The following is a 17,839-nucleotide window of genomic DNA, read 5'->3' as shown; positions in this document are numbered from 1 at the left end:
CAATATGGAGCAAACATGTTTTCTATGCTTTGGTAAACAGTCATAGTTCTTTCTAAATTTGGGTTAACTTACAGCATTTTAAGCTTTGTACATTCAAAGTCATGCATATCTCTGAGAGGTCCTTTAATGTGAAGATTTTTTGCTTGCATCACTTCCTCTGGAACATCTTCATCTTCTGTTTGCTAATTTCTACTTTTAGTTATTTATTTTTTAAATTAAATGTCATATGGGCTTATTATTGGGAGACAAGGAGGCAACAGCACTACACACTTTGCTGTCTGTGTGTGACCCAAATAAGAGATATGCAGTAACTGGTTGCCTACAGACTTTGAAAGAAGTGACATTATTAGTCATTGACCAAGATGCACATCTGTTACTTGTGTAGTGATTTGTGGACTAAAAAGCTAACAGTGAAATTTGAACTCTATAAAATTACTCACAGCTAATATACCAAGTTAACTAAAATTTTTGCTGCACTTTGGGGGACTAGTGTAATAATAATTAGTACTGATAATGCCCAGGCAAAAACTGTTCACAGCTGAGAGTTGTAAAGTTCTATGATTATATTTACTTTTTCCTTTGAGTTGATAATTGTGTTTTTTTTAATTTATTAAGCTTATTTTGTACTATTACTAACTTTTTGCCCATCTTTTTTTTTTTTTGAGACAGTCTCGCTCAATAGCCCAGGCTGGAGTACAGTGGCTCAGTCTCGGCTCACTGCAAGCTCCGCTTCCTGGGTTCATGCCATTCTCCTGCCTCAGCCTCCCGAGTAGCTGGGACTACAGGCACCTGCCACCATGCCCAGCTAATTTTTTTGTATTTTTTTAGTAGAGATGGGGTTTCACCGTGTTAGCCAGGATGGTCGCGATCTCCTGACCTCGTGATCCGCCCACCTCGGCCTCCCAAAGTGTTGCCCATCTTTTAAGAGCCTTTTTCATCTTTGGTTCTTGACTTTTTCATAACATGAATCATGTTGGTGTAAGGGTTTCAAGCAGTTTTGTGGTTTGTTGTTGCTTTTACTGTTTGTTTGCTTTAACCTCTGTTCTATTCTCTTTTTATCTTAGGAATTCCAGTTCTCATTGTAGGCATCATCTTTCTTTGCTGTCATTCTTCACATTTCATTTGCTTTTTTCCTGGGATGGAGTCAGTTTTTCTTGGACCTCTTTATTTTTATCCTTCCTGGTTTACTTCCTTTATTTGATGGGGCACATCCAGGTAAAAAAAGGTGGTACAGAGGTAAATGGGACAGTGGCAATGATAGCTTTCAGTGTGCTTGTCTCCTGAATTGGACATTGGTGCAGTCTGGACTGCTTATCTTATATGTGTAGTGCACAGTTGTGATCCAGAGTTCTTTTCACTGTCATTCTGCAGATTCCCTTTTCGTCTACCCTGTGTTGGATCCCCTGTTTTCTTCATGCCATATCTTCCTCGCTTACAACTTTTTTCCCTCCTGTTTTTTAGAGGACATTGTCTAGTAATTTCCAGACAAAAAGGACAAAGGGATATATCCTTTGATATATTGAAAAGCTGAAAATGCCTGTATGTTATCTTCCTATTAGTAATATGGCTGAATATACCATTCCAATTTAGAAATAATTTTCTTTGGGAATTTTGAAGGCATTTCTTCACTGTTTTCTTGCTTCCAGCATTGCTTTTGAGATTTCTGAACCTGTTCTGATTCCTAATCCTTTGTAATATATGTAATACATGTTTTTCCTTACTATGGAAGCTTATAGGATCTAATCTTCTTACCAGTATTCTCAAATTTCATAATTGTGAGCCATGCTGTGGGTCTGTTTTCATCTAGTATGCTGGGTACTCTTTCAGTATGGAATCACACAGCCTCAACTCTGGAAAATTTTCTTGATTTTTTAAAATTCCCTTTTTCCATTTTCTCTGTTTTCCCTTTCTGAAATCCCTGTTCTATTTTTGAGAAGATTCAAAAAGTTTTTTAACCTTTTTCCTCTTGTTTGTTATTTCTTTTGTCTTCTTTTTTTTCTTCTTCCTCTGGGAGATAGTCTCAACTTTATCTTCAAAGCTTTTTATTGAATTTTTATTTTTGCTCATATTTTTAATTTCAATCTTTGTGTGTTTATATGTGTACATGTCTGTATTCTAAATATTATTTTTCTAAATAGTGTTATTTTTTATGGATACAATATTTTCTCTTAGTTTTTCAAGGATGTAATTTTTTTTGGACATTTCCTTTTCCCTGCATGGATTTTCCAAATTGCTTTTTTAAAAAAAGTTGTTTTATCTTCCATATTCCATGTTAGAAACTTTCTGCAGATATTGGATAGTTCCAGGTTGTAAAGATTAAGAGTGGAGATCTAAAAAGCCAATGGAACAGGCTAAGTTTATGGGGGGTTTGTGGCTTTGAGGTTTACTATAGAATGAGGTTTGTTGGAGAGCCATCAGAATCAGTATTAGATCTTTCTTCTTGAAATAGACATATTCCCACAAAGAGTACCTTTCCAGTTTCCTACATGGAATAGAAAAGATCTGGATGCATCTTCTGGGAGACACATAGAAGAAAGGGTACGTAGTGTCAGCAATCAGCTTTTGGTGTACATTCAGTTAATAATTCTCAAGTTTTGCCAATTAATTCCTAGACCAAAATGTGATTTTACTCTCTCCAGATACGAAACCTCCTGCTGAGTGATCTGGATGGAGTGTTGGTGGGGACATTTAGGGATCCAACTACTTCTTGAAGAATTTTATCCCATGTGTTATTAATTTACCCAATTCCCTCCCAATTTTAGAATAAACACTTGCTGCCATTTCCTGAGCCTTTCAAGGATTCTATAGTATAAGTAGGTTTGTTTCTCACCTCTTCCACCAGTTGGGATTTGGCTTTTTTGACTTGACTTTCATAAGTCCTTTAACCTTATTCATTGGCTTTCAAGCTCCTAAAATGCTATTGCTATCTCCTTCAAGTTTATTTTATTTTTTTGCATTTGTGGGTTTATTAATGTATAAAAAAACAACAAAACTTTTTTTTGTTTTTCTTTTTAAGTAATTTAGTAGGGTTTTTTGAGGGAGTGTATTTATTTTTCTATGTTTCATTTGATCTTTCTTTCTTTGATCGAAAATTGAAAATCCAACTTACAGATCTTTAGTTATGCCTCATGATCTAACTAGAATCAAATACAAGCTAAAAAAAATCTGATTATGCCTTCTCTTTTTAAAATTCATGTTTGTCAGCATATAAACAGAACCAAAGACAAAAACCACATGATTATCTCAATAGATGCAGAAAAGGCCTTTGACAAAATTCAACAACCCTTCAGGCTAAAATCTCTCAATAAATTAGGTATTGATGGGATGTATCTCAAAATAATAAGAGCTATCTATGACACACCCACAGCCAATATCATGCTGAATGAACGAAAACTGGAAGCATTCCCTTTGAAAACTGGCACAAGACAGGGATGCCCTCCCTCACCACTCCTATTCAACGTAGTGTTGGAAGTTCTGGCCAGGGCAATCAGGCAGGAGAAGGAAATAAAGGGCATTCAATTAGGAAAAGAGGAAGTCAAATTGCCCCTGTTTGCAGATGACATGATTGTATATCTAGATAACCCCATTGTCTCAGCCCAAAATCTCCTTCAGCTGATAGGCAACTTCAGCAAAGTCTCAGGATACAAAATCAATGTGCAAAAATCACAAGCATTCTTATACACCAATAACAGACAAACAGAGAGCCAAATCATGAGTGAACTCCCATTCACAATTGCTTCAAAGAGAATAAAATACCTAGGAATCCAACTTACAAGGGATGTGAAGGACCTCTTTAAGGAGAACTACAAACCACTGCTCAATGAAATAAAAGAGGATACAAACAAATGGAAGTACATTCCATGCTCATGGGTAGGAGGAATCAATATCGTGAAAATGGCCATACTGCCCAAGGTAATTTACAGATTCAATGCCATCCCCATCTAGCTACCAATGACTTTCTACACAGAATTGGAAAAAACTACTTTAAAGTTCATATGGAACCAAAAAAGAGCCTGCATTGCCAAGTCAATCCTAAGCCAAAAGAACAAAGCTGGAGGCATCATGCTACCTGACTTCAAACTATACTACAAGGCTACAGTAAACAAAACAGCATGGTACTGGTACCAAAACAGAGATATAGACCAATGGAACAGAACAGAGCCCTCAGAAATAATGCCACGTATCTACAGCTATCTGATCTTTGACAAACCTGAGAAAAACAAGCAATGGGGAAAGGATTCCCTATTAAATAAATGGTGCTGGGAAAACTGGCTGGCCATATGTAGAGAGCTGAAACTGGATCCCTTCCTTACACCTTATACAAAAATTAATTCAAGATGGATTAAAGACTTACATGTTAGACCTAAAACCATAAAAACCCTAGAAGAAAACCTAGGCAATACCATTCAGGACATAGGCATGGGCAAGGACTTCATGTCTAAAACACCAAAAGCAATGGCAACAGAAGCCAAAATTGAGAAATGGGATCTAATTAAACTAAAGAGCTTCTGCACAGCAGAAGAAACTACCATCAGAGTGAACAGGCAACCTTCAGAATGGGAGAAAATTTTTGCAACCTACTCATCTGACAAAGGGCTAATATCCAGAATCTACAATGAACTCAAACAAATTTACAAGAAAAAATCAAACAACCCCATCAAAAAGTGGGCCAAGGATATGAACAGACACTTCTCAGAAGAAGACATTTATGTAGCCAAAAAACACATGAAAAAATGCTCATCATCACTGGCCATCAGAGAAATGCAAATCAAAACCACAATGAGATACCATCTCCCACCAGTTAGAATGGCAATCATCAAAAAGTCAGGAAACAACAGGTGCTGGAGAGGATGTGGAGAAATAGGAACACTTTTACACTGTTGGTGGGACTGTAAACTAGTTCAACCATTGTGGAAGTCAGTGTGGCGATTCCTCAGGGATCTAGAACTAGAAATACCATTTGACCCAGCCATCCCATTACTGGGTATTTACCCAAAGGATTATAAATCATGCTGCTATAAAGACACATGCACATGTATGTTTATTGAGGCACTGTTCACAATAGCAAAGACTTGAAACCATCCCAAATGTCCAACAATGATAGACTGGATTAAGAAAATGTGGCACATATACACCATGGAATACTATGGAGCCATAAAAAAGGATGAGTTCATGTCCTTTGTAGGGACATGGATGAAGCTGGAAACCACCATTCTCAGCAAACTATGGCAAGGAGAAAAAACCAAACACCTCATGTTCTCACTCATAGGTGGGAATTGAACAATGAGAACACGTGGACACAGGAAGGGGAACATCACACACTGGGGCCTGTTGTGGGGTGGGGGGAGGAGGGAGGGATAGCATTAGGAGCTATACCTAATGCTAAATGACGAATTAATGGGTGCAGCACACCAACATGGCACATGTATACATATGTAAGAAACCTGCACGCTATGTACGTGTGCCCTAAAACTTAAAGTATAATAATAATAAAATTTTTTAAAAAATTAAATTAAATTAAAATAAAATTAATATTTGTATTATAAATCATATCAACCTTATTCTCCATGAAATACTTGAACTTTGCTGAACTTTTAAACTTTTGATTTTTAGAATGGATTTATACATTTCTGATGAATTAGTGAAAAATTTAATGTGCATAGAGATGAATGACTGAACTGAATCCATTGAATGCATGTGTATATGTGTCATGAGGTTGAGTCTTCTAGAAGCTACACAGGTCACAATGTAGGCTAAATTCATGCCATTAAGACAGAATGTACTTTAGTCTACATTTATCCTTCAGCAATAAATAGTCAGGATTTAATTTGAACACATTTTTTTTCTAAACCAGATAGTCTACCTCATAGAGGAAAAGTTTTTTCAGTTACGAGACAAGCGCTTGTCCTATCTTCTGACTTTTCAAACAGGAAGCCCAGTGTTCTTTCCAGAAACAGATTATTGCTTTTACCTTAAGTAGAGGAAAAACTCTGTAATTAGTTGTAGAGACAGTGCTTATATTTTCCTTTCAAATCTGATTGTATCAGGATACTATGGCAATTTTTTTCATTTGAAATCTACTTTAATAGTTCAAAGTTTTTGGAGATTCACTTTCATAGTGCTACTTATATTCTACAGTGGGTTTAGTTGGTGGTGGTGGTGGTGAGTTTGGAGGTAGAGGGATGGGAAAAAGAATAGGAGAGGCTGTTGTTTAAGACAAACTTCTATTGCAATGACTCTGTTTCTTATATCCTGGTTTAAAGGATCAGGTGCAGAATAATCACTCACTCCTAGGAAGAAGGATTATTACATGAGTGCAAGCTGTATATCTGATTTTGGCCAATGACCTCAGTGCTATAGACTGAATTGTGTTCTGCCAAAACCCGTATGCTGAAGTCCTAACCTCCAATGTGATTGTGATAGTAATTAGAGATGAGGCCTTTGGGACATAATTAGATTTACATGAGGTCATGAGGGTGGGACCTTCTGATAGGATTAATGCCTTTATTAAAAGAGACACAAGAGAACTTGCATTCTCTCTCTCTCTCCCTCTCTTGCTCTCACTCTCACTCTCTCTTGCTCTTCTTCCCGCCTCCCTCCTTCTCTCTGCCATGTGAATACACATGAAAAAAGCCATCTGCAAGCAGGAAGAGAGCCCTTACCAGAACCTGGTCATACTGACACCCTGATGTCAAACTTCCAGCTTCTAAAACTGAGAAAATAGATTTCTCTTGTTTAAGCTACCCAGTGCTACTTATTTTGTACGGGGACAGGTAGCTTCCATGCCCTTTCTGGTCATTCCACCTTTCCAGCATGTTGTTGATGTGTTCGCCAGCTGGGAAGTTCATCAAGTCTTGCTGCTAAGGAGTTTTTGTAGAGCTCAATCTGAAGTCCCACCCCCTTCAACCCTCTAATTACTTGATCTTTCTGATGACCAGCCCCATCCTGAGGCTATCTAGGGATCCTACCCTAAGTTACCTTATTAACATAAAGTCAGCTAGTTATGAATCAAAAAGAGCTAGTTATGAATAAACAATGATACTCTTATCACTCAGGAAATTCTAAAGGTTTTTGGTGCTCTTTGCCAGGAACCAGAAACAAAAACCAAATGTATTTCTTCTTATACTACACAACCCAAAGTTCATACTCTGTTGTTTGTAATCATCTCCCCTCTCATTCGATCAGATAGATAAAGAAGGGAGAGAAGCAAGAAAATAAGCAAGCATTTTATGTAGTATGTCAGGGTGCTTTCTGACTACAGATGATGGAGAAATGAAATAATAAGGAAAAATGTTATTATTAGAAGGAAATGCTGCCTTCTTTTCCATCACAAATGCCATCACTCAGAGATGAAACAAGTGCTTGCCTTTAGAGGGACTGAGTGGTTATATTGGCTTTGCTACAGAAGAACCTTGGCCCCTCAAACTAGTTAAGTTTGGCAGTGATATTTTGGTTGGTGAGAAACTAATTAGAAGATGGGAGCATTTTACATACTCTTCAAATGACCCAGCATTTCAAACAGATGTTTCAGGAAAATGCATACCTGGTGCTCTTCCATTAGTGAATTACTTTGTTGTAACTGTCACAAGCTCTTTTGGACGGTAATTATGAAGAATTATGTCCCATTTGGCAACTCAAATGTATGCTGTTTAGCTCAATTTGAGGGAAATTTGATGGTAATTATAGGCACAGTTTTTCTGTTAAGTCTTGAAAAGGAACCTATCACAACAGTTGAGAAAACCTGGGTGATAAAGCATAGGAGCAGTCCATATTCTCCAAGAAGTATACATATGAGGGTTCTTATAGGATCTTTAAATGAACACATGTATACACACATGCACACACACACACATTCACTCACACAGCATAAAACCAAAACATCCCCAACTCCAAAACAACTTAAACAAAAATGGACAAGTAGAGAGAGTATAATGTATAATAATAAGACTAGAATAAACTATAACTTGAAGTACTGAAACTGAAAATTTATAGCATTTAAACATGATTACAATAATTGCTGGCTTCATATGATATTTCATAGGTTTTAGTATTCTTAGGATCTCTTTTTTTACATTTAAAATATTAGATTATGTGTCTATAAAATAATACTTTTAATATAATTTTTTAGTTGAAATTATTAGATTTAAAAAAATCCTGTTTGAATTTATAACAGCCCGTCCCCTTAAAGCCAGCAGGCAGAAAACAAGCAACTCAATTTGAGTTGAAATTGAAGATGAAGATAAACAACAGTACTTGCCTAAGATGATAGGAGGTTTGATTCTTTTAAAGTCAAATACAGTAATTATTGTTTTGTTTAGTGACCTTAAGGCTTTCAATTATTAAATAAAAGCTGCAATCACTCGTATTTCCAGAATTAAGAGAAATCCATATGGATCACCATTATGCATGGAAAAAAATTGCCATTATATATCTATATGTTTTATCTTGGGACATGGTGAGGACTTTGCATTTTCCTGTCCGCAAACTCCCAGAATTTTGTTAAGTCATTGGAAGCCAAGCATTAAGTACAAATAGTTTCAGTTTCCATATTTCCTAGCAGGCCAGCCAAGAGCCATCCTAGACAGATGGAAAGAAAAGGTTTATTCCTGGAAAATATGAAGACATTCTTATACTTGTAAATATTTTTTTACCCCATATTTTTGAAATTAACATCTCATTAGCATAGGTTACATTGACTTGTGTTTATAAACCAGCTCTGCATTTCATTTTAGAGCAAGATGAAATATTCATTTCTTTTTTTTTTTTTTTTTTTTGCCATCTTCTAATGTCATATTTACAATAAAGAACATCTGGATATTTGCAATTGGAGAAGTCTTCATGCTTTTGAAATATGACATTCAATAAATAGTTCTTTCACTGCTAAACAGCAATCAGCATGTATCAGATTGTTGGACAGACTTTTTCAATAAAAAGCATTTGCTTTTTCTATTGTTTAAGACATCTTAATATTATAGGTAGGTGGTAAGAAAGCAGGTTAGGCTTTGGGGAAAAAATCTGAAATTTTGTAATAATTTCTGTAATTATGCCAACATAGTTAAGTCTTTATGAATAATGGCCCTTTTTCCTCTTTTGGGCTGACCTGGAGTCCTTTTAAGTGTGAGCATGATGTTACAATACTGCCCCCTACTGTAAGACTTTGGATAATCCTTTCAAAGGAACTTCAAGAAAAACCAGAAGAAACTAACAGATGATTGGGGACAAGCATATCTTATTACATTTGGCATTTTGAAAGTATGTTTTGATGAACAGTTCAGGCCTCTTAAATGCAGAACTCTAGAATAATAGTATAATACATACTTTTGTTTCTCAGTTTGTTTTCTTTTGAATTAATGTTGTTGCTGCTCTGTTCCTTTGAGTTAAACAGAGGAAATTTTCCTCCCCCGCCATGCTTTGGGATGATGGATCTTACTCCGGGTTTTGTGAATGTGTTTCTGTTTTAATTAGTGTTGGTTTCAAGGAATTGTGAATCTTTGAAAAAAGCACACAGGGTGTCTTTGAGGCTGGATAAAGAATGATGCTTTTGTCTATCTTCCGTGTGGCTTTGGTATTTTAATAATAATAACCAATTTTGTGGTAAAGTATATCGATTCAACCAATCCTATCTTGCAGTTCATCCAGTCTTAAATCTAGCTGTCTCTAAATAGCTTTGTATTCTTTTGCATTGAGTAAAACTATAAATTTATGTGAACAAGACATTGGCATGATTTAGACTTTTTTTTTTTTGATGAAAAGTTGAATTCTCCTTCCCCCACCCCTTTTTATGGATATTGCTTTAACGAAATGATTTCAATGACATTTCTTTTGCCAATGCATATTTTCTGACATTAAAAAACAAATCAAAAGCCACTTATCATATGAATCATTGTTAAAGTCAGCAGTAATCCACTGTGTAAAATCTCCCTGCAAAGGCGCAGAGGCTAGGGGCTTAAACCTGGAGCACATTAAATTAGTTCCAGTCTCTCGCGAATGGTCTTTGCCTGGCTTGCTTAGGCAGGCAAAACGGAAACAGGCAGTTTATAACAAGAATCTGCTTTAAAAACCATGGGGTTCATTGGAGAAAGATTTATATCCTCCACTTATATAAACATTACAAATGTGGACTGCAAGTAGGAAGGAAACCTTTATCGAAATCTCTTGAAGAGCTTTTTCACTGAGAGTAAAATGGACAGCATACACTGTTGTTTGAAGACACGCCAGCATTTCGACAATCATGTTTTTCACTGCTTTGCCTGATTAAAATGTAGCATTGTGAAGACTAACCAGACCACCTACTTTCAATTTATTTTCATGATGAGACTATGTTGGCATCAAAAGAGGAGTCAAAAGACTCTGTGCCAAAGGAGAAAATGATCATTTAAGGATTTTTAAAAAGACAAAGTAATTACATGAAGTCTTAGGGTAATGGAATCTGGACATCAGTTTCTGTCACCTCCTGATCTAAAATTATTTTTATATATAAACACTATCCTAGATATCATGTTGTCTTTAGGATTGTAATAGAACACAGATGAGGCTTGAAATATTTGGTCCAATAAAATGAGAAAGGCTGAAAGGAAAGATTACCATTTGAGATTAGAGTAGCTATTTATTTGATATTTCACATATGGTGATGTTAAGTCTTGAGCTAGATTTCTGTTTTTCTCTCATCTGGTTTTATCTCATTTTTAATATCTTGGAAATTGCCATAGAAATGTACTTTTCTTTGCCCTAAATGTGTAATAACAGGGCACTATCACTAAATTAACTTTTTTCTTCAGGCTTGTTATCAGGAGCTATAATTTGATAGGTTTTAGTCACAATCCAGGTAGTACTGAATCAGTTGTTCGTACGATTTCTTCAGTCTGTCTGGAAAGTAGCACATCTGTTTTTAGCATTCTTAGCTGGTTCCAAATGTAAGCTTATTTTAAATGCACCTTAAAAACTGGGGCTGACTATGAGAAGTGGCATGGTGAAAGCATTTGAAGGACACAATGTGAAACCAGGATCCGTAGGAATGTGGGGTTAATATCTCAGTGAGCCCAGACCAGAAGGGTCACCTGGGGGCTATTTGCCTATCAGGACTATTTGCCTTGACTACAATTAGAGGTAAAGGCAGGTTTCTGAAAAGGAAAGTCATTTATTTGACTTCACCAGATGTGCAGAAGTGAAAGATGTGATTAGGTCCAACATAAAAAAATCGGGGAAGTTGTCTCTGACCGATAACATACTATTACTACTACTACTCCTAATAATTTTAGTGGATCTCACTTGTTAAGTTCTTATATGCCATGCCAATGTTAAGTTCTTTACATATACCATTATTTTTAATCCTTACAGCACTCGATTTTTAAATTGACGAAGCTGGGATACAGAGGCTTGAGTAACATGCTCAAGTCACACTACTGGCCGTGGCAGAGCCGGTCCTTGTAACCAGCCATTCTGACTGTAGAGCCCATTCTCTTAGCCTGCTTTACCACTACATGATACATACTGACTTTTCTGTTTTTAAAGCCACTTGGGGTTTTTACATGACATCTGTAACCTATAATCCTGTTAATGTCCAATCTGTCCAGTTCAAATCCATTGACTTTTTATCAGCAGCTGTATCTGTACCTACAGCCATGATGCTCAAATGTGTGGCTCTAAACGAGAAAATAAAATCTTTTTTTAAATTTTTTGAGACAGAGTGTCGCTCGTGTGTACTGGGTTGGAGACAGAAGGGATATAGGGTGATTTGTGCCAGAGGTCATCAGGTAGTGATGAAAAGAAATCTTTGGTTTAGGAGGCTGATACTCTGTAGAGAAGGATTAAGATAAAAGATGGTTTGTGTTCATCTCAGCTAGTCTATGATTTCCTTCAAATCATTAAGTTATCCTAAATCTGTGTTATTTTCTAATGATGGATTTCTACTATGGAAAGCCTCTAGTTTCAACAATAAATTGAAACTACTGGTACTTCTTTGGCTGAGTAAAACTTAGTTCTTTAAGAAATTTGATCTATGTTCATCCGTAATATGAAGAAAAGAATATATGTGTTACTAGAGTGGATTTTCATAGTGAATAATAGTCTTCAAAAGTGAGGCACAAATGTACTGCTAGCAATAACTTATATAATTATAGGTTCTAAAAAGGTTTTAATAGATAATAGTGAGTTTTTTCTTTACATAATTGGAATAAGCATTGACCAAAAGAAAGAGAATCTCAGAGGTATAAGCTAACATAGTGGTAGTAGTAGTGACAGGAGGAGTGAAAAGGAAAAGAAAACTGCATTCGTTAGTATGTTTACACACGAGACAAAAAGGATGCTCTATAGTTGATGGAAGAAGAGACAAAAGTGTAACTATAGTATTTTAAATGAAGAAGGTAATCAATAGAGAAACCAAAGGTGTTATATAAATGTACGTTGTCTGTGTATATGTTGGTTGTATGTGTAGGGTGGGGATGCAAGCAAGCTAAATTCTAATCCATCATAGTAGGAAGCCAATAGAAAGTGCTAAAAAAGTGATTTTTAAAAGAAGTGGTGTAATTATAGCACTCTATTTTATGACTTGATGCTGATCGCCAGAGTAACCCAAACCAAAAATCAACCCAAAGTGATTTTCTCTGAGAAGTAGGCGCAGACTTGGGAAGGGGTGAGGTAGGAGGCTGCTGCTTTTCATTGTAAATTATTCTGTCCTATTTGAATAGAATCTTATGAACCATGCTTATATTTTACTTTGATAAGAATAAAATATTTTAAAAACAACGGTGATAGAAACAAAAAGTACTCAAAGTTCTATATTTTTAAAAAGGCAAGAAAAATATTTCTTCATGTACTCCATTGTACTTTTCTTTTCCCCCTTAAACAGAGGTCTTAATTTGGCATATAAGTAACTGCTCTTGGCTTTGTTTAGTCTCAAAAGTTCCCTTTGTTGGTAAGGTGAAGGTTTCCAGAGAAGACATTTTTCATAATCTATTTGGTTAATTAGGCGAGGTTTTTTGATGACTGAATAAACCTGACCAATGACCTGTGGACCATTTTGATTAATTTTCAATAGCAAATTACTGAAGTCCATAGATTTAAGTGATGGATGTAGTGACACGATGCCTCAAGTACTTCTTAAATTATTTTTTGTCTTTTGGTTACTGTTACCAGAATATACTTGTATTCTGTAGACCTGTTTCTTTGAAACAGATAATCACAGCAACCTTGACTGTCTGGAATCCTAAAGCTGACTAACCACTTAAGAAATCCTGTTACATTCTCCTTGGAGGTAGTGGTAATCTTAGTTCATTACATACATTTTAATATCAACATTTGTCTTAGTTTCCTTTACAGATGAATTTTGTTCACTTCTTAACATTGTCATTCCTGGATAGACTTGTTTTGGTCATATATATTATTCCTGAAAACTTTATTTGGCTGACCTTAAAGTTATCCTTAGTTTTCAGGAAATTTAGCCATTTCTCAGTTTAGCAGTCTGACAAGTTAGATGTAATTTATGCTTACAACTCGTTTACAATAAGGAGGTTGTTTTTAATTTGTATATTTTTATATTTCCTGAGTATGTAATCTTAGGCTTCATAATTTCTTTTGTGCCATTAACCATGTATAGATAATCAAACCTTCTTGGTGTAACATCCTTAAAGATTCTTATAAGATGCTGTTGTTTTGTAATATTTTTAAATGTGCTATCCTATTAGCACATTTATTATATATTACTAATATCCTATTAGTACACTTACTATAGTAAGATTAGCATTTACTATACAGTGACAGCTCTTCCATGACCTTTTACATCTGTTATCCCATTTAATCATCACAGCAAAACTGTGAGTAAGGCAGAGGAGGAATTACCATCCCCATTTTGTAGATAAGAGAGGATGAGTGACTTGCACGCAGTCATACATTGAGTGGGTCAAGAATGGCAATTCGTGGGGTTTTCTTTTGTATCGTTGCCATTTATTGAATAGTTCATGCTTTCCCCTCTGATTTTTTAAATAAACATTTTATTTAGAATACAGTAGTTTATGTTTACAGAAAAGTTGCACAGATAGTACAGAGAGTTCCTATATACCCCTCACTCAGTTTCCCCTAGAAAATTTGATTCTGACCTTGATTTCATGTTACTCTGCAGTAGGATTTAAATCTACGGCAGAAGGAGTTAAGAGTTTAATGAATCAAACAACAGAATGCAGGGAGTTAAGGGTTCATGCTTACAAACGATAAGGAAAGGTACTAGACTATATACAGCAGGACTTTCAACCCTTCCCTGGCCAGGCAGGCAGTAGAAACAAGATGTAAGACAATAGGGAGTCGTGGGGACAGTGGTGAACCTGAAAACAGGTGCCTAGTGTCAAGGGGCAACTACTCTTTAGTTCCTCTTTTTATTAAGCAGTTCAACTTCGGTGTTGCTTAAAGTTGCAGATTTTTAAGAGAAGTCAGCAGTTTGAATTTGTAATGGGAAATTTGTTAATTTTCAAGACACTCTTTTTGCTAAACAAAACATTTGACTCCCAGAGTCCAGAGCTGGGGATTCCTGACATTAAATGTTAATATTACTGTTCCCCTGTTAAGGCATGTGGGGACAGCCAGGGCTAAACTTATCTTTCCATTTACCTAGAGTGGTCTCTACTGGAAAGGAAATCAGGAAAAGAGTGCTCCAGGGACAGGGACTGTTACAAGCAGTAGAAGTGGGACTTTTTGCATCCAGGAAGCCCCTTTCTAATTGGTGCTTTCTGTTTTTCCAATAGACAAACCTTTTTGCAGTCACAAAGTGTGTTCCTATTGTTTTCTATGACAGTTACTTATTTAATTTCTGTAAGAGAACATATAACCAGCCAGGCGCGGTGGCTCACGCCTATAATCCCAGCACTTTGGGAGGCCGAGGCAGGTGGATCACGAGGCCAGGAGTTTAAGACCAGCCTGGCCAAGATGGTGAAACCCCTTCTCTACTAAAAATACAAAAATTAGCTGGGCACGGTGGCATGCACCTGTAATCCCAGCTACTCGGGAGGCTGAGGCAGGAGAATCACTGGAACCGGGGTGGCAGAGGTTGCAGTGAGCGGAGATCGTGCCACTGCACTCCAGCCTGGGTGATAGAGTGAGACTCTATCTCAAAAAAACAAAAAACAAAACCCATATAACCATAATTTATGAATATTTTCACACTTGATTTTTTTGCTAATGAATATCACTCAAATGTTATGTTCGTTTGTTTATTTATTTCTTATTTTTTGAGATAGAGTCTTGCTCTGTTGCCCAGGCTGGAGTACAGTGGCACGATCTCAGCTGCCTCCCAAGTAGCTGGGATTACAGCCACCTGCCACCAGGCCCAGCTAATTTTTCGTATTTTTAGTAGAGATGGGGGTTTCACCATGTTGGCCAGGCTCGTCTTGAACTCCTGACCTCAAGTGACCTGCCCTCCTCAGCCTCCCAAAGTGCTGGGATTACAGGCGTGAGCCACAGCACTCTGCCCTCAAATTTTATATTTAATACTGTTTTAGATCTAAAGCAAAGTAAATGCAACCCTTATACTTTCTGGTTATTGGTGTAGTTTTTTGTGATAACACATTTCATTTCTTAAATAATTTTTATGTCTTAACTTCTGTAATATAAGGGAATATTTTATAGTGATTATGGTTTTAAATATATTTATAGGAATTCTCTAGTTTTAACTTCTGAAGGAGTTCACAGACATAACCTTCTGTAGTTTATTTGATTGGAAAATCTTCATATTTAATTTGAATCAGAGCACTTCATGATTTAGTTGTAGTTCTCTTGTGTTATATTTCTTCGTTCATTTATTCAGCATCTATTATTTCCTTGGCATTGAGGATTCAACAGAGAACAAAAAACAGACTGAAATCTCTGCCTTCATGGAGTTTATCTTTTAGTATGGGAAGACAGATAGACGATGAAGAAAATAAATAAGTGAATCATATATTAGAAAGTATAATGCCGTGGATAAATGCCATGGAATAGGAAGTATTAGAGGTGGAGTAGTTTGCAATTGTAAAAAGGAGGGTCAAGAAGGCCTCACTAAGAAGGTGACATTTGGACAAACACCTGAAAAGGAATAGCCACTTGTATCATCTATTGGCAGAGGTTATAGCAAAAACAAAGGTCCCGAGATGAGAAGTGCCAGGTGTTTTCAAAGAGCAAGGATGCCCATGTGGCTGGAGCACAGCAGGCAAGGAGAACAGCCGAGGTCAAACAGAGCCTGTAGGGCCTTGTAGACCATGATAAGGACACATACACAAAACACACACGCCAACATCTGTCTATGCTACAGTTTCAGAGCTGTTTCTCAGTAGTCAAGTAGAAGATGCCAGTGATTGGGGATTATTTTTCATTATTAAAGTATTTTGTGCCTGTTGAAGATAAGGCTAAGGAGAAGATGAGGAGATACATTGACTGTTTCAGGAGGGATTCAGATCAGTTAAATATTGGAATGTGACTCCAGATTATCTGGTTTCCAATATAGAGTTAGACCTTTCTGTGTATTTTCATATCATGTTACTGATATCTTTATTATAGCATTCATGTTATTGTTTAGTTTGTATTGAAAATAAGTCCCAAAAGATTAGTTAATTCACGTATTCATTTTTCAGCAAAAATTTATTGGGTGATGTTGTGTTCTAGGCACTGGGTTAGGCTTTGGAGTAAGCAGTGATATACACTTAAGGATGTAGCCAATATTCTGGTGATGTATTCTAGTACAATGACAGTCACACAGATCTGCTTGGAGGTAGCATAGAGTAACCTCCTCCAGTCTATTTTGTGTGTGTCTAAAAGCAATTTAGGTAGTGCTATGCACTGAATGTTTGTGTCTCTTCCAAATCCCTATGTTGAAGCCCTAAGCTCCAATGTGATGGTATTTGGAGGTGGGGCCTTTGAGAGGTAATTAAGTTTAGATGAGGTCATGAGGGTGGGGTCCTTATAATGGGATTAGTACCCTTATAAGAAGAAATTAGAGAATTCCTCCCTTACTGCTCTCTCAGGCCCCGCCATGCAAGGATACAGCCAAGAAGGAAGCGAAGTTTGCAAGCTAAGAAATGTCTTGTTTAAGCTACCCAGTCCATGATATTTTGTTATAGTAACCCATGCTGACCAAGACAGGTAGATCAACTGGGGAGGGAAGGGACAACCATCTAACTTTCCTTTCCCCCATATTTATTGTCTCCTTTTAGTCTCATGTGACAGAATCTAAATCAGATGGTGATGAATAGCTTCAGGCATGTTTGGATCCAGCTTTTAAAAATAGTTTATCAGGAATCTGTTTTTCTTTGTTTTTTAATCCTACTCACTTTTTTACTGTTTTGTTTTTAGATATCCTCTTTCCAAGTGATGGCAAAGCTGTGCCCAACAGCAATAGCTTACATTCTTTCAGCATGAAACTCCAGCAAAAGGAACGTGCTTCTTTCCCAGGAGCTTAGAGAAAAGTTTTAAGGCTGATAATTCTTGTCACCAGTGGGACTAGCTTGGGCTATGTGCTTGATGAATATTTATTCTGTCTAGGGGAATGAATACATTGCATGAGCATTCCTGAGTTACCTGTCAGTTCCTGAAGTTTGGAAATGGAGGTGATCATATGAACCAAAATGGGAGAGTCCCCTAAATAAAAACTGGGTGCTATTATTCAGAGAAGGGGCAATGGATGCTGGGCAGGAAAAAAACAAGTGAGCACTGCATTTGGGATAGACTGGATAGACAATTTAAACAGTTATGTACTTAGACCTCCCCGCCCTTTTTTCTAGCATTTTGTGTTCAAGATTTATCTTACTAGATGGAATTAAGAATTTTCAACTAGGTCTATTCTCTCATTGGTTTTGAAAAGGCATGAGTTAATAGATTGCTT

The 17,839-nt window shown here is 36.6% G+C and overlaps 1 protein-coding gene across 7 annotated transcripts in view, besides 1 other annotated feature; it reads left to right on the top strand.

Annotated features, from left to right (window-relative positions):
* SCFD2 (sec1 family domain containing 2) overlaps positions 1 to 17,839 on the top strand; it is a 493,080-nt gene that overhangs the window by 159,540 nt on the left and 315,701 nt on the right. The window lies entirely within an intron of this gene.
* Positions 7,409 to 11,215: an enhancer, noted in NCBI's record as "VISTA enhancer hs1460". NCBI's record gives its function as "enhancer in: branchial arch[3/7]" and the evidence as "EXISTENCE:transgenic organism evidence [ECO:0001131][PMID:17130149]".

Source organism: Homo sapiens, chromosome 4 (genome assembly GCF_000001405.40).
Source record: "Homo sapiens chromosome 4, GRCh38.p14 Primary Assembly".
NCBI classification, from domain to species: Eukaryota; Metazoa; Chordata; class Mammalia; order Primates; family Hominidae; genus Homo; species Homo sapiens.
This window is presented reverse-complemented; position numbering and strand designations above follow the sequence as displayed.